Raw genomic sequence first — 27269 nt, 5'->3', positions numbered from 1 at the left:
TCTCCTTTATAACCATTTCATATCTTCTTCTCTATCTTTAAACCTCTGGCACCTCTTCTCTCCTGGTTACTTTCAATGAATGGCTTTATTTCCCATTTTATTGAGAAAAGAGAAGTAATCAGAAGATATACAATCTCCCACCACTGCATAGATATGCCTTTTACATTGCATAATGCTGGTGTGTTTGGCCTTTCCTCTTCAGTAAGAATGAATGGTTAGTGCCTCCGTCCAAGGTCAACCTTGCACCTGTGCCCTGGATACCATCTTCTCTCCTCTTCTCCCTTACTTCATGACATCACTAGAGCAGTTCTCCTCTCTGTCCTGCATACATTTCCTTCTCTTTGAAGGATAATGTATATATCTGTATATCTATATATATGTAATATATACAGATATAGTAATCTAGTCGTGTATGTAAAATTAGATATGTAAATTAAATATATGCAGTGATATATATTACTGTTTATAGCATAGATATTACTGTATATACTACCACTTCTCTTTTCAGACACTACCTTATTTCACTGTTCCCTTTCATCTCAAAGTCCTTGAATAAAGGATTTCTATTCACTCTCTACAATTGCATTCCTCTCATTCTTTCTGAAAGCCACCCCATCAGGCTTCTGTCCCACTAGTCACTGGAATCCCCCTTGCTTCTCCCTCTTTCTTCTCTTGTCCTTCAGAAACCACTGTCTCTTGGTTTTCCTCTTGCCCCTCAGACTCCTCATTGCCCTTTTTTCCAGATCCTCTTTCTCTTCTGAATCTGGCAAATATTGGAAGCCTAGGTTCAATCTTGGAATACCTTTACTTCTCCACCTGCACTCTCCCTTGGTGATCTTGTCTAGCCACATGGCTTGTAATGTCTATTTCTAGCCCAGACCTCCCTCCTGAATGCCACACTCACATTCAGCTACCTGCTAGACACCTCCACATGCATGTCTGATTGGCTTCATGAACCCAGCTCATCCAGCACCTTCTCTTGCTCTCTCTCAACCTGTCCCCCACACACTTCCTCGTCTCAATAATTGGTAGCAAATTCTTTCGGATGCTCAGGCCAAATAACTTGGAGTCCCCTTTGATTCTCCTTTTCCTGCAAATTGTACATTAACAAATCCTTTGGTTTCCCATAAACATCACCTCAAGTGTCTCAGCATTTCTCCCCATACCTACTGCTGCCACCTTCCTTCCTTTCAACGCTGTCTTCTGCCTGAATGATTGAAACAGTCGCTATCTGGTTTTCCTGCTCCTGCCCTTGTAGAAGCCACTCAGCAGACAGAGCCCTCCTGGTAGGACTCTCTAATGGCTTCCCTTCTTACTCTGAATAAAAGCTAAAGGCTTAGAGTGAGCCAGGAGGCCTTCCGTGGCCTGCCTCTCCCAACCAGTCTACATCATATTCTACTTCTTCAACTCTGGCCACCCTATCTCTGTGCCACTCCTCAAGCCTGCTGTGCATGCTCCTGCCATGGGACATTTTCACACACTGTTCTTCCTGCCTAGAAAGCCTTTCCCTCAGATGTGTGTGGCTATGACTCCACCTATACCCATCTATAGCATCGTCTTGCTCTTCCACCTCTTCCAGATTTATACTCAAATTTCACTTTGCCCATGAAGCCTCTTTTGACCACTCTCTTTAAAATTGCAGACCAAACCATTCCACACCCCCTTTTCTTTGTTTTCTCCATGACTTGTATGGTCATCTAAGGTACACGTGTTTTATGTATTTCTTTTTTTATCATCTGTCTTCCCCATAAAATATAAGCTCCACGAGGGCAGGTATTTTTGTCTGCACTTTTCGTTGCTGAGTGCTGAGCAACCAGAACAGTGTCTGGTGCCTATTAGGGACCTGCATTTGTTGGATGAAAAAATGAAATAAAAGCCATAAATGTTGACAAATAATATTTGGTTGGGACCCATGACCTCTTGTATCTAAGACTTCAATGAGCTAGTTTCTGTACTAGCCTCCTCCATGGTCCCCTCAAAAGCTCCATGCATGAGAGACAAGGCCAGGGAAAGGAACAGTGTGTGCCATCTGGAGCTTTGGCCACAAACTCCTGAGTAGGAGCCCAGAACCCTGTGGAGCCGGGCTGGGATGCGGACATCCTCCCTGCTCTCTGAGGGACAGCACTCTGCCAGGAGAGGCAGGTCCAAGGAAAAGGAAGGAGAATAGACAGCTTTTGGTTTTGGCTTCCAGGTCTGGTTTTTGAGCATAACAGTCTGGTATTTGAGTTTTTCTGGCTGGCGAAACAAAATGCTACAAATAGAACTGTCCTTAGTGAAATTAATTTCATTTTATTATCGTGTTATGATGTGATTTGTCTGTCTTCAAACAGAGTAATCTAATGTAATATATAAGCCGTAATGAAGGTGGTTGTTAAACTTTCGGTGTGTGTCTATTTTATTTTTACCTGTGAATTCTTCACCAAGCGAGCCCGCTCTTGTTGAAATTGCCCAGCCAGGGTACTGAGAACTGGAGTGGGGATAGTATAATCCACCTTGCCTTGCCTGCTGACAGTGCATTTTCCAAATAGCAATCGGAGTGGACTTTCAGATCGGAGTGGACTTTCAGATCTGTCAGTCACTCTTCTGTTGAAAACCCTGCAGTAGCTTCCCACCTCTCCCAGGATAGATCTCAAAGTGTTTTCAAGACCTTAGATGATCCCCCTCCCACTGCCTTCTGACCTCAAGTCTCTGCCTCATGGGATCCTTTCCAGCCACCCTGGCATCTTTGTTGTTCCTGAAACAAACCAAGCACAGTCCATCCTGCCTTCTGTCCTCCTTGTCACTCCTCAGCTGAGAATGCTGTTCTCCCAGAGGCTGATGTGGCTTATATCTCTGCTCCAACATTGGCTTCCCATGGCTCCCAGCCTTATCTGACCCACCTGTCTACACTTTTCTGTCTCTATGTCACTTCCTTTTCTGTGGTCCTTCTGACATGTACGTCTTTGTGTTTTCTTTGTCTGTCACCCCTCAAGTGGACTCTAAGGGGCTAAAGGGAGGGACTTTGTCTGTTTTGATCACAGCTCTGTCCCAAGCACCCACAATAGTGCCAGGTACTTGGTGAGCGCTTAGTTCTGCCTCTCTGTTACTGTGCTGGTCTTGCGGGTAACTAGAATTCCTAAAAAACAAGTCAAAGAGACCAGTACTTATTTACAAGAGCTTGGGAAGACAGACAGAAAAAGAGAGAAAGAGAAGGAGAGAACCAGTGTTCAAGAAATCGCAAGCTCCTAACCCTTGTTCTCACAAGAGAATGCCCTTCTTGGGAGCCCTGAAACACTGGCTGATCCTGGGTCTGTCCAATCCTGCTCTTGCTTCTCCCTGCTATGGTGCTGGTGAGGGCTGATAGGGCAAGGTGGAAGAGAATCCTGCAACCCCACTCCCCGGAGGCCACTACTTGCTCTGGTCTGCCTGCCAGCTGCCTCCCCAAACCAACCCTTATGATTTCAAATAATTAAAGGAAGACAGTCAAAATCGGAAACATTTGGAGATAAGAGCCTGATCTGGCCCAGTAAAGTTTATGCTTACAAAAAGTTTCACAGGCCAAGTATAAAAATGGTCTATGGTTTAGATTAACTCCCTTTCATTTGTCATGTCTTGAACCATTTCTATAACACTGAACAGAAAAGCTCCGGAATTCAGTTTTCTTCCTGCACACACCTCTTTGCTGGTGAGGCTCCAGAACATTCTCTAGACTCAGGGGTCATAGAAAGAGAATATGTGTGGTCAGAGGTCTTCTCAAATAGTATATACCTGGGCCAAGTTATTTTCAAAGCTGAGATGAGCTTAGAGAAGTCATTATAGTTTAGGGTTTAAAATAAAAAAAAAAGCTGTATTTGTGTTTCACTTGAAAGGCAAAATATATGCATGGTGTCATGGGCTGTTTTTAGATGAGATCCTTTGTAAATAAACAATTGCTATCATTTCAATCTGTCAAGGAGGACAGAAGTGAATATATACTTCCTTTCTAGTGCTTACTCTATGACAAGCACTGGCCTGGGAGCTCTCAGCACTCATTTAATCAGCTCACTGTCTTTATCTTAAGCAATGATCCCAGGTTCAACCTCCTAGAGAAAAACATTATCATAGTCATCTCAATTTCCCTACTATCCCCAATTTATTCAAATTCCTACCCATCTTCACTTGCTTCTCACCTGCCTCAGTGGACACAGCTGTGAGTCAGGATCCATGCTTGTTCAAGACCAAGTCCTCCACCTGGGTGGTTGTTTTGATCCATCTCTTTCCTCTCCAAGATTACCTGGTCTAACTACCTTCTCTCATTCTCTGATAGCCTCCATTTCTACCACTGGCTGGTTGCTTTTAACCTACACAAATGTTCAATTTTTGTCCATTCTGAAATAACCTTGACTTGGCTCCCATAGCCACCTCTAACACCATGCATCTCTGTCCTTCCAAGGAAGGTGGACCTGGCAGGTTAAAGGCATGTTTCAAGACTAGCAAGGGGTGAAGAAAGCAAATCAGCCCTTTCCAAAGATACTACAGACGTTGCTACCTGAAAGCATTCAACTGTGCCTAGTATTCTGTGGTTGGGAGTAGGTGGGAATGACTATTTCTGAACAATAACAATTTGAAGGTACAAAGCCTTAGGTAAATTTCCTAAATTTCATTGGTTTCTACAGTGTTCTGGCTAAGGCCAGCTAGGAGTTGGAGATTGGCCATTGCAAGTGAAAGGTGTGTGGGATGAGTATGCACAAGTACCGGACAATGGAGGATATAAATTGTTTTTGTTTTCTGCCTAGTGACTGGTTTTGAGCCTTTATGGAGAGAGTTGTATCAGATACTGAAAGGAATGCTTCCAGGAAAATTTTTCAGGAGGGCATTTCTAGGAAAGGCTTAAGTCTGTTGGTATTAGCGTAACCATTTTGGGGGCCATGTGAATCAACATAGGGAAGTGGCTTTCTCTCTACCTCCCTCTGCCCTGAACCTAGCAACACTCTGGCTGCATGAAAATTATCATTTGGGGGGATTGGGGGAAGATAAGAGATTGCATTTGTCACACAAATATTACCATTGCCAAGAAGGACAACATTAGGGTCCATGGTTTGCATAGTGTCTGCTGCCTTGGAGTTCCTGAGTACATGTGGGTACAGCACAGAGACATCAAGAAAGGCTTAGGTGAAGTTGCTCAGTGAGAGGAGAGGGCATGACGTTGGATTGTTGACATTTGAGTGTCCTTATCAGCATGCTTAGGCTCCTAAGTCTGGAGAAATAAAATGTTTTCTGTAAGAGGGCAGGGATTTTTGTCTGTTTTGATCACCTCCGATTTGGTAAGCACTAATAAGTATTTGTTCAATGAACATGTAATGACTTTGGCGGCACTTGGGCCAGGAAATGTGGTGAGCCTGCCGAGAGCTGGATACTTAGTCCGAACAGCTGGAATCAAGTAGGATCCAGGAAGAATCAACTAAGGTTAGATTAACAGTATGGAAGGGAAACAGTGAAGCAAGAGCAGTGGCTTTTTTTAAGAAAGTCTGGCTGTAAAAATAAGGAGACAAATCAGATGGGAGTTTGAGAAGGGTATGGGATTCATCATGTGTAACAATATGATGCAAACTGTACTACAATAGATAGGAAATACCAAAATAGGCCTGAGTATATCATGCATTGTTTTGAATGGGGCTTCTAATGCATTATCTCAACAATCTACATATTGACCAGGTGAGATGGGTGGGACAGGTATGTTAATTCTTTTTTCCAGGTAAGGAAAGAGAGAGAATAAGGTTAAATGGTAGTTTGCTGAAGGTTGCAGCATTCATTCGTGAACAAGAACCCACGGCTTTGAATTGTGTTCTAGAATTTTTTTTTTTTTGCTTTATCATCTTGCAGAAATGAGTTTTTGGCTAATGAATAGATTTTGGCTATGCAAATCTGTAGGCTCTTTTTTTTGTTTGTGATTTTCCTCTTTTTAATTTTGCAATGGTGACTATGAGGTGACAAGCTTTAAATCTTTGACTGGAAAGGTCACAGTGACATGGGGAGATAATTAAAATGGAAAGAAAACCACATTTGAAACCTGGCTTCACGGGTTAAGATGAGGATAATGTATTGAAACAGCTGAGAGCCTCTGTGAAGGCTTTATTTCACATCACAGCGACACAGAACAAATTGCACAAATTCTGGGAATTATATCCCTTGGAAACAAACACTGAAGTCACTTTTTAAAATGTCACCAAATGGCTCTGTTGACTCTATTTTGTAACAAGTTACAAACAGATGGCACTTTGAAACATACGATGCAGCTTGGAAAATGAAATTGCTTAGACATTTTTGTCTGGTTTGCTAAGATAATGTGATGAAGCCCCAAATGAAAGAATCTTGGCATGCACTGATAGAGAAAGGCTACACACCATTCAGTAGATTTGTTTTAATTTCTCACAATTAAAGAGTTGGTTCTTCAACTGTCAATCCTGTCTGAGTTGGGTTCCATGAAGTTGCGTTCCATTATGCACTTGCTGAATAAAAGGTGCAAAGCAAGGGAGAAGAGAATTACCATTTCCTGAATGTCTAGTTCATGCTAGCCTCTTTATACGGCATATAAACAATTTATATATCTTATTTATTTATAAAGAAATTCTATGGGTAGCTACTATTGCTCTTATTTTAAATATGAAGAACCTGTAGTCCAGAGACGTCCCATACCTAATTAAGTGCACAGCTGGAATTCAGACTTTGATATGTGCACCCAAACTCATGTTTTTCCCATTTTATCTACTTCAGGAAGAATTTTGTTCCTATCTTCCCCTTTTCACTTTTTAAGAAAATATTTCCATGTTCACAATTTTTTTTTTTTTTTGAGATGGAGTCTCACACTGTTGCCCAGGCTTGAGTGCAGTGGCGCCATCTCTGCTCTGCTCACAGCAAGCTCTGCCTCCCAGGTTCACGACATTCTCCTGCCTCAGCCTCCCGAGTAGCTGGGACTACAGGCACCCACCACCATGCCTGGCTAATTTTTTGTATTTTTGGTAGAGACAGGGTTTCACTGTGTTAGCCAGGATTGTCTTGATCTTCTGACCTCGTGATCCACCTCCCTCAGCCTCCCAAAGTGCTGGCATTACAGGTGTGAGCCACCGTGCCTGGCCAATAATTTTTAAATATTAAAAGAGATACAGCTAGTAAATGTTTATGTAATATAGTCCAATTTATATATTAAATTCTATATTTATTGTTTTCAGAAATAGGAATTTATGGCATATTTTGACAAGTATGGTTTGTTGAGTCACTCAAGACCCAACCCAATTCACTTCTCCCTCTACCTTTTTTTCTTTTTCTTTCTTTTTCTTGAGACAGAGTCTCACTCTGTTGCCCAGGCTGGAGTGTAGTGGTGTGATCTTGGCTCATTGCAACCTCCACCCACCAGGTTCAAGCGATTCTCCTGCCTCAGCCTCCCCAGTAGCTGGGATTAGAGGTGTCTGCCACCATGCCTGGCTAATTTTCATATTTTCAGTAGAAATGGGGTTTCACCACATTGGCCAGGCTTGTCTCAAACGCCTGGCCTCAAGTGATCCACTTGTCTTGGCCTCCCAAAGTGCTGGGATTACAGATGTGAGCCACTGTGCCTGGCCTCCCCATACCTTTTTTAAATGAAAGACTGGAAAGCAGAATACGCAGACTTCCAGATTCCCTTGCAGCTAGGGGTAACCCTATTACTTACACAGTTTCACCAATAAAATGCACATGGAAAGTCTTGGAGGAAGGCTTCCCTTCTGAAATTAAAAGGCAAAGTTTGACAAGGAAAAGGCTTTTGTTTTCCTCCATAGAATATGAACTCGATACCTGGAGGTGCAGCAGCTATATTGCCACCATAAAAATAAAAGCCCATGCTAGCATTAGTGAGAAGGAATAGAGAAGGACACTGGTTTCCTAGTGGCATCCTTGGATAGCTACAGCATTCTTAGACCTTCCTCTGGGCTTCTTGTTGTGTGAGAAAAATAAACCTCCTGCATAATAAAGGAACTGGGTTTTCTGATACTTACAAATACAATCCTAGCTGATACACTTAATAGCCAGAATTTTAAAAGGTATTCCTATTTTCTAACACAGTTCAATTTTCATGCCAGCTTTTGTCCCAATTTGTAGTTTGCAAACACTGAAAGTATAGCCTTTGAATTAGACAACAGATTCATTGGAAAGATATTCATTTTGTTGGGCATTAACTGCAACAGAGTTGGGTCCACTCCCTGGTTATGGAAGAATGGCCCACATGGTATGATCCAAGCAACTGTGGCCCTTCCAGACAATCTGGACATCACTTCAACCAACGTAATCGGCCTGGGTTAGGGGAAGAAGAATAGGACAGCTGGACTCAACATGTCCCCACCATTTTGCCTTGCATGGATGTAGACTTGGCCTTTGATTGGAAAGTTTAGAAAGGAACTTGAGGAATCATTTTGTCTCTTTTCACCTTGGGGAAGGACCACACTGAAGTCATACCAGACATATATGATAACTGATCTGGTTTTAATAGACCTCCAAAGAAGACAATTCCACAGCCTCTTCCCTAAGGAGACCATGTCAACATTTAAAAACTCGTAGTAAATTCTTCCTTTGCTGAAATAGAATTTGTATTGCATGTGGGTTAAAAAAAAGCCCCTTATTTTTCTAAAGCAGAGTGACAGAGTGGAAAGTTAGCAGGTTGTGGAGTCCAGCAGTCCTGGGTTGACTTGCGGCTTTGCTGCTTGCTAGTTGATGAACTTCCTTGTTATTTAACATCACTAAGCTTCATTTCCTTATCTGTAAAATAAGCAAAGTAATAGCTACACTATAATCCCTGAAGTTATGGTTCAGAGCTAATATATGTAAAATGTTGGGAATATTATTTGTCATAAAAGTAAGTGTTCGAAAGCAGTTCTTTTTTCCCCTTCTCTGTCGACTGGACAACAACTTACCACTATTCTCTGGTTGAAATTGTGTCGGATCCCAAGAAGCATCATGAATTGCTCCATAACTTTCTTCACTACAGGCAAATTAACTCCAATTTCCTAATCCCATCCTCTTTACTCTTATTTTTCAGTCCTTGAATCTTAACTCGGGAACTTGTTTACAAAAAAATTATATTAAAAAAATGTGCTTTGCATTCTGGGGAATTGCAGTTTTATAAAGTAAGCAAAAAATAACAGTACTTGAAAATTGAAAATATTGACCCATATATTCTATTTTGCTATACACACCAAATACTCATTCTAGGTTGCATTGAGGTCACTATGGTGACAAAGACAAAATGGAGTAATGAGACAATCATTTGGATTGTTACAGCCAAGGATTTGGCCACAATTATTAGGCTAATTGAAAGACAAAGTTTACTTCTCTGGTGCAAGTTCTCTGAATGGTGATCTTCATTTTGAGTAGGCCACTAACTTAGACCCAAGTGATCTGCTGTGCCATTTTAAGAAAAGGAACATTTCAGACCCTGGATTGTTTTTAAAAGCTGTACACTCTATTAGTTCTTGGCTAATAGAGTGTTGGATTGACTGACTTCTGGCAGCTTTGGACGTTGACTCCACTAACATATGCACAATTTCAGACTTGAAGCCACACAGGAAGTAATTGTGAAGCCTCACAATTAATTCCTAAAAATCTGCCATGTGGTGGTTCTTATCTCCTCCAACAATGTAATCCCTAGGAATTGTGATGATATGAGCTTTTAAAAAAATTGTTAATTAATCTTCATTCACTTAGGACATACTAGTTTGTCTGTGATGAGGAAGAACATGTTGAAAAAGCCCAGAACATTGAATGAAAGAATGAAACAGCTACTGTAATATAGTTTGGTTCAGAGATTTTTTTCTTTCTTCTTTTCATACAATTACTTATGGCATATGATACTAAGAAAGAGAAAGAAAATTCCAAAGCAGAGTTTTCTGAGCAGAGTCTAGAGAAGCCCCATAGATTTACTCCAGCTGTGCAGTTAATAGGTGATGAAACAGGCTTAAAAAGAGCTTCAGTGACTTGTCTAGTGTCCCATGGTTAGTCAGTGGCTTACTTAATCATGGCTTTGTTTCGTTTTGTCTTTCTTATGATTCAGCTTTGAGCTAAATGCCCCTCCCTTAATGAGGTGGTCCTTGACCATGTTAGCTAAAGAATTAGCTCCTTCCTGGCACCTAGTCACTGTGTCTTGTTATTCTGTTTTATTTTATTCATACCACTTTTCAATTTCTGAAGTTACATTCTGGTTTATGATTCTGTGGTTTGTCTCCTGTAAAGTGCAAGCTCCACAAAGGCAGGGACTTTGGCTCTTGTTCACTATTATATCTAAAATAATGTTTAGGACATATAAGTCCTCAGTGCAAATTTGTGGATTGAATGGACCAGAGCTAAAGAGGAAAGGAACTCTTGTTTCTTAGGTATCTATTATGCTAGTTGCGGTGCTAAGTTGTTTATGTGTGTTACATAAACTAAGAGGTAAGTGATGTGCTTGGAGCCTTGCAGTTAGAAAGTGGAGAAGCCAGAATTGAAAGTCAGGGATATTTTGCTTCAAGTCATGACATCACAAGAAATGATTTTCAGTGTTCAATGCTTCCTGCTCCACCACCCTTTCCATGACCTCTTCCCAGGCATCTAAAGTTCCCAGTACACCAAGTTTGTGTTTGGCATCCCCTGTTGGCTTATATCTGTCTGGGCACTATAGTTTTCAGAGAAACCAACTTGAAGATATTATATTCAACACAGCAAATACTCTATGTTGCTGGTGCTTCTCTGTATAAAATTTACTGAGTAAATTTCTCATAGATATTATAGCTTTATTTCAATTTGATGATGAATCCTATTGAGTTGCACAAATTTGCCATGAAAAGCCTACCAGAGAAAGAAATCCACCCATCTGCTGATGATTGAAACCTGATGCAATCAAAGATGATAGAAAGTTCAGATGACATGGGCCAAAAGTTGAAGAAAGCACGGGGGTATCAACAAGATAGGAAATAACCCTGAAATAGTGTTGATTCTGACCACAGGGTAATCCACAAATTTGAGTTGGGGAAAATGTCAAATTTCTCATCTCTATCAGGACTTTTCACCTTCTTCAGGTTAGGTCATATTGGATATAACAATTTCCATTTTGTCCCAGATTATAGAACTGTCAAACTTTAGTATATACCAGAATCATCTAGATAATTTATTAACAAAGGGGCACAGGGACCTACTTTAATTAAAGAGATTCTGTGCCAAGCACAGAGTGAGGGCTTAATTGATGGTGACCATTAGCATTGTTATTTATTTCACTCTTCCCCAAAGGGCAGGTGTGGGCCTGACCCATTCATTCACAGATTGGCAAGAGAAAGAAAAAATATGCACAAAACTTGGAATTTGAAAACCTGTGTTCAGACATCAGTGCTGCTAATTTCTAGGTATGTGACTTTGGATGAGTCACTTCATGTCTTTGAGCTTCAGTTTACTCGTCTGAAATCATCACAGTCAATAATGTTTATTTAGAAGGCCATTGTAAGAACTGGATAAAGGAATGCAGAAGAAAGAATCCAACAACAAAAGGGCAGGAGGCTGTGGTTTAAAATGTGGACTTTCTCTATTATGATTAAAACACTCATTTACTTCCAAATCCCAGCCCTGCCAGCCATCATTACCTGTGTAATTGTAGGCAAGTAAACCTCGCTAGCCTTGGTTTTCTCATATATGAAAGAGACAAAAACAATACTTTGTCTATATCAACTCTCAAACTTTACATGAACCCTGCTGTTATGAGCTCTATTTTATTGTAAGGGAACTGAGGCACAGAGGAGTTAAGTAACCCAACCCAGATTCACACAGATGCCAATCTGGTTTGTGTCTCCAGGAACTCTGCTTCAGAGTCTCTACACCTTACTAGTGAGCCTGCTGCTCCCACGAGTGCACAAGGCATGTTTAGGAAGGGCCCAGCACACGACAAATGCTCAGTAAATATTTCCCCAAATTTGAATAACTTACTTTCACATTACAAACTTCATCCTTCTATTTCGTTACGCAGTCCACTGCACAGCTCAGACAGTCAGTGTTCAACCCTATTTAGCTATTGCCCGTGAACACAAAAGTGCACTTGGGCTGCATAAAAACTACAGACATGTTTATACAAGAAGGGGAACATTGTGTCACATTTGGTTTTTATTGCTTTCAGCACATTAGGCACATACTATCTGTTTATTAGGTAAAGGTGAAAGGTTACAGATCACCTTAGAATAAAAGTATAGATGAGTTGCTTGAGAAAGGGCTACATAGAAAATTGCTGTTATAAATGTACAGTAACCTAGAGCCTTTCGACTCTTGGAAGCAGCTTATGTGTGTGCTGACAATGACTGACATACTGGAAATGAAACCCGTCTTAACAGTACAGGATGTGGAAGTACACACCAAAATTACTCAAAGAGAGGAAAGGAAGTCAGATGTCAACTAGAGTTAAGGGCAATTATTATTTATTTTGGAGGAGCTTTCCAGTGAGTTGGGGGAACACAACCCAGGCTGAGGGTGTGGGGTCTTATTGAAATCATGAATCAGAACAAATTGGGAGATACATAGTCTGATGATAAGACAGAGTGTGAGGACTCGGGACATATGTTCCTTGCAGCCATAGAATTCATGATGAGGGACTTGCAAAATGGACATTCAAGTTCCTGAGGACAAAGGCTGATCCAAACAAAACGATTCCGTTCAAGTTTGTTGTATTTCTTTTAACTACTTCCCAGTCATTACCCACAATTTGATTTGAAATACTTATAAAAGAAATGTACCCCAGTACAATGCATCATTTATGAAATTATGCATTCCATTTATAGAATTACTATTAATGCAAACTCATAGTTTTACCAACACAATTTAGATATTTCTGCTTCCATATTGCAATGATTGCATTATCCTCCCATGGCCAAGTGGAGTGGTAAGCACATTCGTTTAATAATAAAATAGACAGTAAATAAATCAACACCCTTAATGAATGCTAAATTGAACACAGAATTTATGCCACTATAAGGAAATCTCCACAGAACAATATTCACTTTAATGCTTTCTTTTTCCTCTACTAAAATCCTACAGTGTATCAAAATGAAGAAAGCACCTTCAATGTGAATTATGTAGGAATGGACACGATGACAATTCTGTTTTTCAGAGTAGGGTTACAGAGACACTTCTGCTTGCCCCCGCGAGTGTCGGTGTCAGCCTCACACTCCTCTTGAGTATGGATCTATAGCTATGAAGGAGCATAATTGGCAAGGAAGGGCTTTTCAAAACTAACCCTTCCCAAGCAAAGCCGATTCTGACGACTTTCGCTTTCCCTCTCTTGTTCAGCAGAAGCAACCCCCAGAGGAGTTGTGTTATTGACTAAGCCCCAGTCGGTAAACACCCCTGAACATCATAAAAAAAAAGAGAGAGAGAGAGAGAGAAACACCAACATGAGCCAAAAGACGCCTTTCTAAGGAAAAAAAGCCTGAAGACGTTTATCAATGGAGAGAGGGCTGTTTACTTACATTGCTCACAAGACCTTCCAACAGCTGGAGTCTTTGAACTCTAGTGTGCGCAGATGTGGAGCTTTTGCTCAAAATCCCCTTCCCTTTGGCAGCGAGGATTATTCATAATTCTTTGGGGCTTCAGATTGATAAGTAATTTCCTGATTCGCTTTCAAAAGCGTTCTCCCAGGCTTTGAGCGGTGGCAGAGAGAGGGAGCGGGCAAGGACCCCGGCGTGCAATGACGCTGTGGCCTACACAGATCTCCTGATTGTTTGATCGAGCCCGAAAGAAGACGTCGACATTACAAACAAAAATAAATATCCTTCTTTATCTGTTGGCTCGCTCCCCAAATCATATTTGGGAAATAGCACAGTGAGTCTGGACAATATTTTTTCTAAAAGTGTGATATTAGCTGAACACCTTCTCATTGTTGTGCTGGGAGAGATCAGGGCACCTCTGACTGGTCTTCAAAGACCAGCAGTTGCAATTTCTTTCTTATCAGCTACTTTACAGGATGTTCTTAGAGACCAAGCAGCCCAGCCCCTTCGGTTGACAGTAGAAAGAAACGATGCCCAGGGCTTACAAGACTTGACCAGCATCACACAGCTAGTTAGTGGAAGGACAGGAACCTAAGAGCCGACTGTCAAGCCAGTGCTGTGTCCACTGTAGGGAGGTGGAGGCAGATGCAAGGGCTGGAGATCTGACTCTCGATCTTTTAAGATACCTATCACTGGACATGGCCCTTAATGTTTCTGAGTCTTGATTTTCACAGCTGCAGAATGAAAATCGTAATAGTAACCCTTGCTTGGTCATACAATGTGGTAATCTCTCTGAAAGCATTTTGTCCAGGATGAAAGCAATTGTATCCTAAGATGAAATTTTGTCGTCACAGCCCCATTTACATGCTTCTCTTCTCCTTTCCATTCTCATTTTCCATTCGGTGTTATTTTCTGACTGAAAGAAACCATTGAGTGACTTTTGGATGGAGAAGGAGGAGTATAGTGGCCAGGAAATGAGATAGAATATGGAGAAAATTTTACCTTGGAAATCCAGGTCAAGATTAGATGAAAGGGTATACAGCATATACAGCATATCTTAACATGTGCCTCAGAAAGAACACTAGATCTAGAAATAGAAAATCAAGGCTTGGCCACTGCCTGGAACACTTAACAGCCAAGGGAGCCCTGTGGAGTCATTTAAACGTTCCAAAACACAGTTGACTCACTGGGTATGTGATCCCTGTCCCATTGCACTTACCTCATTTTGTTGTGGTTAGAATCAAATGAGGTGTTTATCAAGATAGTGCTTTGCAATGTTTTAGGCTTTGAAACTATAAAGTAGTTGCCATGGTTTGAATATACGTGTTTCCCCACAAATTCATACGTTGGAACCTAAGATCCAATGTGATAATATTAAGAGGTGGAGCATTTAGGAGGTCATTAGGTCACAATGGCAGGGCTCTCGTGAATGGGATTCATGACCTTGTACAAGGGCTGGAAGGAGATAGCTAAGCCCTTTTTGCCCTCTACCCTTCTGTCATGTGTGGACATAGCATTTGTCCCTCTGGAGGACTTAGCAACAAGGTGCCATCTTGGAAGCAGAGACAGAGCCCTCACCAGGCCTTAAACCTGTTGGCACCTTGATCTTGGATATCCCAGCCTCTAGAACTGTCAGAAATAAATTTCTGTTGTTTATAAATTACTTAGTCTGTGGTATTTTGTTATAGCAGTACTAATGGGCTGAGACAGTGGTATTTTCCAGCGGGATGTGCAACTACCATTGCCCATTTCATCTGTGTCATTGGCTGACACCACTAGGTGCCAGGGCTCCTGGGTTCTGCCTTGACTTTTTTTCCCCCTTTTCCTTTTAGGAGTGTATTTCATCTTTTTTCCCTTGTTATCCACCTCTTGGTACTTGTCTCCCATGCTTGCTGCTATTGGTTTTCTTTCTTAGGACTCAAATTGTCCTTCCATTTTTCATGTAATGTTAAGAATGAAGAACAAAGAGAAAATATTTTGTTCAGTCACACAGAAAGGCATCCACGGTATCTTGACACAAATGGGAATGTCTTTATTTTTGAAGTAGCCATGAACAAAGATCAAATGAATCAAGATCAGCGCCCCCTTGAAAATGATCAAGTCACAAGTCCAACTCATATTTTATGGTTCCATTCACTATCTTACCCTTTTATTAATTTATTATTTGAATGTTATTTAAGATTTGCACTCTATCATCTGTAAGAAGAATTTTCTAGTAGAGTCTTGCTTGGGCTGCCATAACAAAATACCATAGACTGGGTGGCATAAACAACAGAAATGTATTTTCTCACAGTTCTGGAGTCTGGAAGTCTGAGATCTGGGTGCCAGCGTGGTTGGATTCTGGTGAGGCTTCTCTTCTTGACTTGCAGATGGCTGCCTCCCTTCTGTGTCCTCATATGGTGGGCAGAGGGAGATCTTTCTCTTCCTTTTCTTAAGAGACCATAGTCCTATTGGATTATGGACCCATCCTATGACCTCATTTAAGTTGGATTAGCTATGAACGCCTCTATCTCCTGATAAAGCCGTAATAGGGGTTAAAGCTTCAACACATGAATTTTGGGGTGACACAATTCAGTCCATAGCAAGCCTGCGGGAAGTAAAAGAAGGGAACGAATACTTATTGAGCCTTTTTTTTTCCCTCACTGAATTGTCAAAACAACATTGATATCTTGGTAGTGACTTTTCTAAGGTCACAAAGCTAGTAAGCAGCAGTGACCAAATGTAAACCATGACGACAAGAACCCTGCTCCCCTCATGACACATTCTGCCTCCACCTCCTCTTTTCTCCGAGATTCTGAGCTGTGACCCTTTCCTTTCCTTTCCTACTCTTTCCTATTGAGTTGCCTGGAGGCAAGACATTGTTACCCAGAGCACCATGAGAAGGAAGCCATGGGGATTCCCTCCATGTGCCCACTGAGCTTAGATTGACAGCTGTAGAGAGTTTGCCTGGAATGTTCTCTTCCTGCATCCCTCCCAGCCCCCTTCATGTTAATAAGTCCCTTCATTAGTTCAAACTGAACTCACATGCTTCTTCCCCGGGATGTTTTCTTTAATCTGACCCTCCGCACCCTTGCTCTTCCTCGCTATATTCTCTTATACTGTCCTACACTTCCCCTTTATAATTTTTTCTCCTTTCATAGGATGTCATAAGTGTCATTTTATTATTGTAGTGGTTATAGCAATAGGTATATATTTCTAAGATAATTTGCATAATGGTTGTCTCCCTCACCAGTCTGTAAGCTCCCTGAAGCCAGGGATGCTTTGCTCACTAAGATATGTCCAGCCATTAGGACACTAACATGAAAAGCTACAGAGGAGCAAGGGAGGATTAGACAGGGGCAAGCCGGGGAAAATAAATAGTAGAAGAAAGGCCCTTCAAAATTCTTCTGCAGCAGTATGACTAGCAAGCATACGCCCAAGAACAGTCTAATGAGGCCCCTTTATTAAGCCCTCTGTGTACCACCAAATGCATTCTTCCCCTGTCGATTTTGCTAGGTTTGGCTAATCAAGAATGAGGTTGTTAATGTGGAGAGAGGCAGCTTGAGGAGCGGATCTTGGGTCGCATCTGCTGTCTGCTGGTCAATGCCTGGGTTCCTGCAAGGGCAGCACAGCCTGGCCCTCTGCAGGATGGAGCTGCCTGTTCATACCCCAACAGCCTCAGTCTCTTCCTAGAAAGAGCTGACGGGACAGGGCGTGAAGATGTGTAGGAACTAGGAGGAATTCCTACCAGGGAAAGACATTTTCAGTTGAAGGAACCACATGTGCAAAGAAACGGAATGACAGCATGTTGTGTTTAGGGAACCTCAAGAAGCCTAGTTTTGTTGGTGAGTTACAATAGGAAATGTGATAGTAGAAATGAAAGTATCAGATAAATCTTAAGTGTTTCCATTATTATCTATTTCTCAAAATTGTTTGGAGGGCCAATGAGAGAGTACATGTGGAATTGCTTTATAAACTGGAAAAAAATCCTACGAAAATATTTTTATTACAAATTCTTTTGGATGAAGATAACTAGAATATTAGGCTAAGAAACCATGCTGGGAAATGGAACTATTTATAAATTTCTTTTATTTATAAACCTAAAGTTTTGATTAATTTCCTTCTTATAATCTCCTTTCAAAGGCTAGAATGTAAGTTTATAGTATCTGTTGAATATGAGTGAGTTGGGATGTATGTTTTCAACTCAGCACCATCCCTGGCCCTTTCCACTCTCTCTCTCTCTGAGGGAACAGAGACTGGAAGCCTGGAACTACATTTCCCAGAATCACTTGTAGGCAGAGTTCCTAATTACAGCCAGCCAAGGAGGGCACACACAGGGTTGTGAAAGATACAAAATAATTAGAGAACATTATTCTTTGGTGTCAGTTACAGAGTGGAAACAGCCAGCTGATGTATGGTTTGCAGGAACTTCTGGGTGAGATCCTAGAATCTCACACTTTCCTATGGCTTCCCAGCAAGCTTGTTCTTCTCAGTTTATAGCCAAACAGAATGCTTTTTTTCGCCAGTTGTTGGTCCCATGAACCCCTTTTAAACAATTATTTTTTATTTAGAAATATTTATAGACTCATAAGAGGTTACAAAAAAATTTACAAAAATACCCTAGCCTCTTCAAATGGTGACATCTTATATCACTATAATAATCATAGAATTAAAAAAAATCGACATGAGTACAATAGTATTAGGCAGACTACAGACCTTCTTCAGTTTTTACCAGTTTTTATGTAGATTTACTTGTGTGTTGCATAGTTCAGTATAGTTGAATACAATATGATCTCATGTATAGATTCTTTACAGTTCTTTAAATGGCTCTTTAAGACTTTAATTTCTTGTCTTAAATCTCTACCTGATGCTATTTTCTTAACTGAATGCTGACTGAGGTGGTTAATACTTTCTTGGTGTTATCTCACATTTGAAGTCTTGCAGTCAAATTATGGTGCTTACCTTCCATTATCTTCATTAATGTATTCAACTGAAATATCACTGACTGATACAACTTCACAGGCCTTCTTTCCCATTGTTTTCATCACAGGATTACAAAGGCATTCCCAGTGTATCATTACATTATATGTAAGTTACCACAAAAGATTTTTAGCTATTCGTTGGGCTGTTAATTGCTCAGTTTTCAAAGTCATTCTTACTGTAGTAGATTAAAAATGCAAAACTTTTTAAATCATTCTTAAATAATGGTAAAATAATTTATATATGATAAGGCAGGAAACAAACAATAACAGATGTAGCTGATGGATAGGAGGAGGCTAAGCTATCATTCTTGAAGATAATAAAACTATACACCTAAACAATGCAGCAAATTTAACAAGGGCCATTAGAAATAATATATGTTTAACAGAGTTTATAGATACAAAAATACATACATGAAAGTAGCCTTCCTATATATCAAAATAATCAGAAAACAGAATGTTTAAAAACCCTCTAAAATCTAAAGTGATGCTGGTTTCCCTGCAGAGGAAGGAGAGACTTGCCTCTCCCTAATTCTGGGCTGTTTTCTCACTTGAGCCTTAATCAGCACAACTTGTGTGCAGAGACTCTCAAAATTTTGCTAAAATATTTTGTTTCTTTCCCTTCTCATCCTTACCTCTGACTCACTAACCACAAGCGATCAAAATCTGGTCTGAAGAAGCCGAGGGAAATGAACACTATGACATGTTCTTTGTCCCTTCCTAATTAAGACATATTTCCTCTCAAAATATCCTAGCCTGCAGAGATGGTCCCTGGCTGTAACTCAATTTTTTTCTTTTTTACATCATTTTCTCCAAGACAGTGTAACAACTTAAAACCACATATTTCAGAAAATGATCTTCGCTTTACATTCACCATTTGGTTGGCTTTCCCAGAATAAATGAACCATCTGCCCTAAAGAACTCTGCAAGTCTTTGCTACTTGCAACCAGTGAGACTAACAAGTTTCCTGGCTAACCATCCCATTACTGGGTATATACCCAAAGGATTATAAATCATGCTGCTATAAAGACACATGCACACGTATGTTTATTGCGGCACTATTCACAATAGCAAAGACTTGGAACCTACCCAAATGCCCATCAATTATAGAATGGATTAAGAAAATGTGGCACATATACACCATGGAATACTATGCAGCCATAAAAAGGGATGAGTTCATGTCCTTTGTAGGGACATGGATGAAGCTGGAAACCATCATTCTCAGCAAACTGTCGCAAGGACAGAAAACCAAACACTGCATGTTCTCACTCACAGGTGGGAATTGAACAATGAGAACACTTGGACACAGGGAGGGGAACATCACACACCGGGGCCTGTCATGGGGTTGGGGGAGTGGGGAGGGATAGCATTAGGATATATACCTAATGTAAATGACGAGTTAATGGGTGCAGCACACCAACATGGCACATGTATATATATGTAACAAACCTGCAAGTTGTGCACATGTACCCTAGAACTTAAAGTATAATTAAAAAAATGGTTAAAATAAAATAAAAAGAAAAAAGCATGCTGAAAGAGTCGGGGGTGTGGACAACTGATACATCCAACCACACGGGTGACTCTTAAAATCATTATGATAGATTTTAAAAGCCAGACACAAAGAGTCTATACTGCGAGATACTACTTGTAAAAGTCTAGAAAATGCAACTAAGTCCACAGTGACAAAAAAGCAGATCAGTCAGATAAGTGGTTGCATGAGGTCAGGGACAGAAAGAGAGAAAAACTTCAAAAGGACAGAAAGAAACTTTCAGGGGTAAATGGAAATATTCTGTTTCTTAAGTTTTGGCAGTGACTTCATGGGTGTGTACAAAACTCAGCTAATTGAACACTTTAAATAAATTGAATTGTGCACTATAAATGGATGCCTTTTACTGTATGTAAATTATACCTCAATAATGTTGATTACAAAATCATAGTTAGTAAATTAGGAATGTTTGCATGTGAAAAAAAAAAATAAAAACAAGTTTCCTGGCTAACATTTGCTAGGTGCTAGCAAAGTTCATTGATTCTTCTGGACATTATCTTAATTAATCTTTACCACTGTATGGGTAGAAAATTAAAGTCACTTAAACCAAATCTCAAGGCTACCAAAAGGTAGAACCAAGATAAGGGCCATGTGGTGAAGCTCCAAGTCCTTTCTCTGCTTTTCTTGTAGGTGACAATAATTTTCTTTCCCACAGGGTTTCAAATACATGATCTGGGGATCAGCCTGGTCCCTCTGACATTGATACACATACATCCTAGTGAGCTGCATCGGCTGCATCAACTCAGTATGTCTAATTTAAAAAGTCAACTTGTGGAAAACGCCAGATAAATAAATGGTGCTGGTAGTACTGGGTAATGATGAAAATTGTATAAGTGATATATGAATGCTGAAAATGTAGTGGAAGTCCCAAGTATATGACCGCCACTTGGTGGAAACCTTGTCATGAGAGAGTATTTGGATTTGCTTCCTAAGTGGAGTTAATTCTTTAGAACTTTAGCACCTAATAAAGGCAAGAAAATTCATATCACTCTCAAAAGTATAATTTAGAAGACTCTATTTTCCCGAATAATAGTTCTCCTTTGAAGACGACTGGAAATTGCCTTCTTTCTAATTTTAAGATTTGGATTGAAAACATTCAAATGCAGGCCTAGCTTCAAAGCATAGTTTGAAACTAAGAAGCACTTCCTGATTTATATTGCTTCATTAATTGATTCAAAAGCAGAAAGAAGTTCCAAATCTCAGCAATTTTCATTATGGATAAATAGATGCACCCCCTATGTAAATGGTTGAACCAAAATGTCCCTCAAAAGAACCTAGTCTCAAGCCCTTTGAATTTCCAATCTCTTAGTTTCACAATCATCACTATCTTTTCCCCCCAATTTTTCCATTCCTCATGTGCATCAGCATGACCCTGCTGTCTCAGCCAGCCCGCAGGAGTCACACATGCACTTCCTGTCTTAATCAACAATGAAGCTCTCACTTAGTTGGTAGATCATTCAGGATAAGGATATTTACTGAGGCTTGCTTGTTTTAGTCCAGGAATACATAGCAGCTCCTTTGGAGACTGCAGACAACATCTAAGTCCCATGTTATTTGAAAGGTAAATATGTAGCCACAAAAGAAAATTTAAAAAAGAGAAGAAAATAAAACAGAGAAGGGAGAAAGATTGGAAGGAAAAAAAGAAGGAAGGAGAGGAAGGGAAAAAAGTGAGGAAAAAGAAAAAGAGAGAAAGACACAGTGAAAGAAAAAGAAAAGGCAGAGGAGGGAGGCAAAGCAAAGGGTTAGATGCTGTAACTGCAAGTAACACAGACTTGGGCTGTGCATTTTTTTCCAGGGGACTATCCGCAGTTTTTCATGTGCCATACCATTCCATTCTTCCATGATGCAGCAACAGTAAACTAACTTAACATGCCCTCAACTGTAGCTAAGGTTTACACTTACAAGTGCCATTTTTGGATAGGGTGACCAGCCATCCTAATTTTCCTGGGATTGAGGGGGTTCCCGAGATGTGAGGCTTTCAGTTTTAAAACTGGGATAGTTCAGTCTAAAACTGAGGAGTTCTCCATGGCATGGGATTTTCAGTGCTAAAACCAGAAAAGTCTCAGGCAAATCAGGAAAAGCTGTTCATCTTATCTTTGAGTGAGACAGTAAATTGTGTCTCTTACATCCTTTGAGGATTGCATAGGAAACTCTCCAGCTGTTAACCCATCTTCCATGTGCTGGGATCTGTGTTACATTGTGTACACTGTAGTGGACATCTTTTTATTCTGCTTGCTTGGCACCCCAGTAATCTTTGGGTACTGCCTTTCCTATTTTATGTAGTTCTAGTTGGGCTGTCTGCTCAGTGTCCTTCACTCCTGCTGCCTCCCCTGAGGTGATAGGTCCACCAGGGTAGGCTAAGCAAAACAGGCCATCTCTGACACCTCTGGCAACAGTGATTAGTTGAAGGGTGAGTATGGAATGCAAGGAATACAGCCGTTGGGAGGGAGGAGTCCCTTTTGCTCTTAGTGAAGCCTATCATTGGTCATCTTCTCCACCATGTATGACAAAGTCAACAGATACAGAAGGAAGTCAGAGGGAGAAAGAGAGAGAGAAAAAAATACTTGAAGCATCTTTTGAGCCCCTGGATCCTACACACATGAAGCTAACACCATTCCTAGATTGCCCAGTTTCATGAGCTCATGCATTCCCTCTTTTCTTAAGCTGGTTTGAGATGGGTTCTTCTCATGTGCAACCAAAAGAGTTGTGACTAACAGACATACATGAGCTCTGTTATTCTGGAGTCAGTCCCGAGAGACGGGTCTAAGTTGAACCACGTGAAATCACCAATATTCAACTTCTTTTGATGGCAAATGTGGAAATGTCATTTGAAACATTTTAGATATTATTATCTCTATTGCACAGGTGAGGAAAACAATTAGTGGTGAGAAATAATATGCTCAAGGCTGCACATTTGTTAGCAGACCTGGGAATCAAATCCAGGTCTTCTTGATTCTAAGGTACACAAGTATATTTCCAGTAGTTAATGCTGCCTGAAAAAAAAAAGAGATCTCTTAAGAGCTTTCCCTTGCTATTTGACAAAGGCCTTGAAATATACTAGATTTTAATTCATACCTTTATGTATGAACATATATATGGTGCCAAACACCTGCTCGTTTGCTTGTAAAATCCCCATTTCACTGGATGTTTCATGAACAGAAGTCAGACACACGAGTGTGCAAAGCAAGAGGAAAAACCCTGCTCAACTCTAGTGTGTATTTTCATTTCACGTGGGATGAAGCCCCAGGTGATGATATATCAGCTTTTCAAAAGTACTCCAGTTTTGGTTTTCACTGACAATCAAGAGGTGCTATTCTTGCCTCACAAAAAAAGAGATTATTTACCCATTCTACTCTCTGTTCAGAGAGACCATTCCCATACCTCAAACCCAACGTATTTATAACACAGCTGTGACAATGAGAGAAGTATTCTGGGTACTTTGAATTGTCATGATCATCCCATGTGCTTGCCCACTGATGCAATGGGATGATGCTTGCCCAGGAAATATATTTTTTCTCCACGGTGGTGTTCCATACATGTTTTAAAAATCACAGAGCATGTATACAATATGGAAAGTTTATGTGTAATTTCTTTAGTATTTATTATATGTGAAGTTATTACAATTCAGGATTGTCTGTTCATTTTAACTAATGCTAGAGAAACGTGTCTTATTAGAGCATGGATAATATTCTATGGCAAATGTTTTTGGCATTATCTGCTGAGCATCTCTCTTCCATAAATTTCCTTCCCCCATCTACATGGTGGCAGGCTGTAGTCATCAGCTAATGCTGCTATTAATGGTGCTGCATAATAAACACCTCCCAGATCTCAGTGGCTTATAACAACAAACATTTATTTTTTTCTCACTCATTAGAGCTGTGAAACTTGCCCAAGATCACACAGCTGGTAAATGATGAAGCTGAGATTCATTCATTCAACAGACATCATTGAGCTCCTCCTAAGTGCCAAGTACAATGAAGAGGCTGATAAATCACCAAGCCAAAGACTATTTATGTTTTAGCTGATGATGTTAAAAGTGAAAACAATGTCATTATAGCTCTAGAGAGTCAACCAAAAAGATAGAAGAACATGACACAGAAAAGGTTTGACAGGATCTGACAAGTCAGGGGTGTGATGGTTTAGAGAATACAGATAACACTGGCCAGAATGGTAGCCATAGTGGGATCATAACAAGATTAATTAGACAATGCGAATATAAAGGCATTCCAAGTGGAAGCTGACATTGCATTTCTAATTTCAAGAGAGGAGAGAAAGGGAAGAAAACATTTGAAGCCATTTTTTGAGTGTCTGCTCTGAACAGGGTATCATCACATGAGGAAAACTCACATAGCAATGCTCAGAGACAAGGGCATCTCATTTCACATTTTACATCTTTCTGGATATCACTTTCTATATGTCTGATGCAAAGATAGTGACATTTCTTTCTTCATATTGTCTTAGTTTGTGCCTAACACATTTCAGGCTCTCAAAAAATGGTAATTTTCTTACAAGATTCTGTTAGTTACTTTCCAATGTTCATTTTGCCATTATTTCTTGTTAACAGAAGCCTCATTTGTCTGGGGAGGCAATGTGGCCAGGTAAATGCCCACCTTCCTGGGAGCCTTTGTGGCTAGTGAAGGCTGTGACCCACCGAGTTGGGACAATAATAAGTAAGCAGAGGTTGATGGAGGAGGTTGCTGGGAAAGCTTCCTAGAAGAGAAAGGCTCAGGTGGTTTCACACGTTCAGATTTTGTTCTGTGTAGTTTGCTATTGATCCAGAATGCAGTCATGGCATTGAGGTAGAGTAGATGTCTTGTGATTACAATAGGGATTGCTGCATACCATGCATACCAGGATGGAGGAACAGAAAGGTAGAATAAACCTAGGTCTCTTATGACCACAAAGTTTTCGTTCTACTTGAATAAAAATAACAATTAAACATGTCTTTAAAAAAAAGAAAGACCAACCATCCAACACACAATCATTGTAGCCTACAAAAACAGCTCCACCTGGCTGAAAGACTAAGCTCAGCGTGATCTTCCCAACCATGGTAACACCAGACAAAGCAGAAAAATCAAAGCTTAAGATAAAAAAATACCATCAAGGGAAGACATGTAACCAAATAATTAATGAGGTATATTTTAAGATTTTCATTATTTAATCCTATCATGTTATCAATGAAGTTTGGGAGAAAAAAAAGTACAAAATTTCAAGGCAGGGAACCCAGGTTCAAATTCTCACTGAACCTTTTATCAGCAGAGTGAATTTGGGCCAGTCTTTTTATCTTTCCAGGTTTGAGTTTTCCATGCTGCAAAATCATAATGATAATGATGATGATACTTACTTATAGTATTGATGTAGAGCATACTCAAGGGAATGTATGTGAAAGCACTTTGTAAATAATAAACTATTAGGCAAGCTTTTGTTACTACTGAAAAGTGAAAAGATAGTCAAGTGTGAAATAGCCAAGCTTGCCCAGTTAACATCTGGCACCAACGTGTGGTGTAGAGGCATGAAACTGAGATGCTGAAGGATATATGGGCTGTAAATGCTCTGTCAAAGGTTAGCAATGAGTCTTTCATGTCATAATCACACGTTTCTTACAAACAGAGGTGCCAGCCATTAATGGGGGAAGAGGAAGAAGGAAGAAAACTATAATTTTTTAATCACTTATTGTAAACCCTTTGGTGTTTTACATATATGATCTTCTTTGATTAATTGCAGACACAAAGCTACACAAATGCTCTGAAGAACTTTTACATTTTGTAAGTGGAGTTATGCTGCAGGTCAAGTTGCCTATGACTAACGCACAAGGATCAAGAATGCTGACTTAGGTAGGAAAAGTAGGGGATGGGCCAGACTTAGGGGAGGGGTCTGAGATCTGAAGTTAGCTGATTAGTCCCCCACAGAAAGATGAATCTTACTAATCAAAAGTTGAAGACTTACACTTGTCTATATAGAGGGAAAGAGGGAAGGGAATTTCTCAGCCATTGAGGACCTCCCAGGTCAGCTCTTTATACATCACCTCTTAGGAAATAAGAGTGTAGACATTTTGCTGTGTGGCTGGCACTGTGCTAAACACTTTAAATTATTAACTCATTAATTTTTGCAACAGCCATTCGAGGTGTAGGTACTATGTTTACCCCCATTTTAGAGAAAACTGGGGAATAGCGAGCTTAATTGACTTGCCCAAATCCACCCAGTTGGATTGGAACCCAGTCGGCCTGGCTTCTGTGCCCTGCAGTTCACCACGATGCTCTTTTGCCCCTCGAGGGGAGGAATGCAGCAGAACATATGTCAGACAGCTGGGCTGTGGATTTTGAGAACTCAGCTTCTTAAGAAACTCAGAAGAGTTAATGTGTTTTCTTGGTGGAAGAAGGCTGAAGAGCCTCCCAAAGATCCTTTTGGCTTTTCAAGGAATTAAATGTAACCGTCTACTCATACATAGCAATGCCTCTCCTTAGTCTAATATGAGATTTAGGGATTTGGGAAGACATCTGGAATTTATTTATGCCATTTGGGTTTTGAAATTCAATATTAAATTCTTAGAATGAAAGAAACCAGAGTAGACCATATTAACGAAATCTGACTACACAGGGCATGTGTTAGCAAACTGGGCTTGAATGTCTGGCTGAAATATTGCTCTGAATACACTGTGTCATTCCTCTCAAGAGGCAAAAACACCTTTCTGGAATCATTTGGACCTTCTGTATATATGGTAATGGCAGAGAGTATATTTCAGGGTTTTTCTTCCCCCAGATAATGTTGAAAGCAATGTAAGCGATTAATGTGTCTATGCTGAGATTATGGCACAAAGATAATTAGAAAAATATCACCTTGACAGATTCAGTTTTTCATTCTGAGCCTGGGGAGACAGTATGGCCTTCAGAGTAACTGTTTCTTTTTTTTAATCATTCCATTAGTTGTGTAATTTTGAATAATCTCCCCAAGCCAGTTTCTTAACCTATAGGATGTTCCAAGAAGAAGATGGAAAACAGGGGTATAAATTTGGGAAGTTTTAGGTGGTTCATGATGGTCAAAGTGGAAAGTGCTTCTGAAGAATATTAGAAGATGAAACCCAAGAGGTAAGCTTTGTGAAGTCTGGTGTCCCAAGCAGGGGTGTGGACTTTATCTTGAAATTACCAAAAAGTTGTTTTAACTTTAATCCTTTTAAATACTAAATAGAATTGCTTTTCCTTATTAGAAATATAGTAGCTTATCATAGAAGATAATAGATGAGGAAGAGAAAATCCTTAAATTCAATCAATTGTACAGAGGTTACTATGG

The 27269-nt window shown here is 40.2% G+C and overlaps 1 protein-coding gene and 1 long non-coding RNA gene across 5 annotated transcripts in view; one reads left to right on the top strand and one right to left on the bottom strand.

Annotated features, from left to right (window-relative positions):
- Positions 1-27269, top strand: part of C1QTNF7-AS1 (C1QTNF7 antisense RNA 1) — a 422973-nt gene that overhangs the window by 39685 nt on the left and 356019 nt on the right. The gene's annotated exons all lie outside the window — the stretch shown is intronic.
- C1QTNF7 (C1q and TNF related 7) overlaps positions 1-27269 on the bottom strand; it is a 106382-nt gene that overhangs the window by 57938 nt on the left and 21175 nt on the right. Inside the window, exon 2 of one of the 4 annotated variants that reach the window (XM_047449566.1) lies at positions 13461-16065. The exons of 2 other annotated variants lie outside the window; for them this stretch is intronic. The gene's annotated coding sequence lies outside the window, so the exon portion shown is untranslated. Of the gene's footprint in view, positions 1-13460; positions 16066-27269 lie in introns of those variants that run through there. One more of the 4 variants, NM_001135171.2, reaches the window with a different exon arrangement.

The sequence above is a fragment of the Homo sapiens genome, chromosome 4, assembly GCF_000001405.40.
Source record: "Homo sapiens chromosome 4, GRCh38.p14 Primary Assembly".
Lineage (NCBI taxonomy): Eukaryota > Metazoa > Chordata > Mammalia > Primates > Hominidae > Homo > Homo sapiens.
The sequence above is the reverse complement of the archived record's forward strand: the minus strand, read 5'-3'. Positions and strand labels throughout refer to the sequence as shown.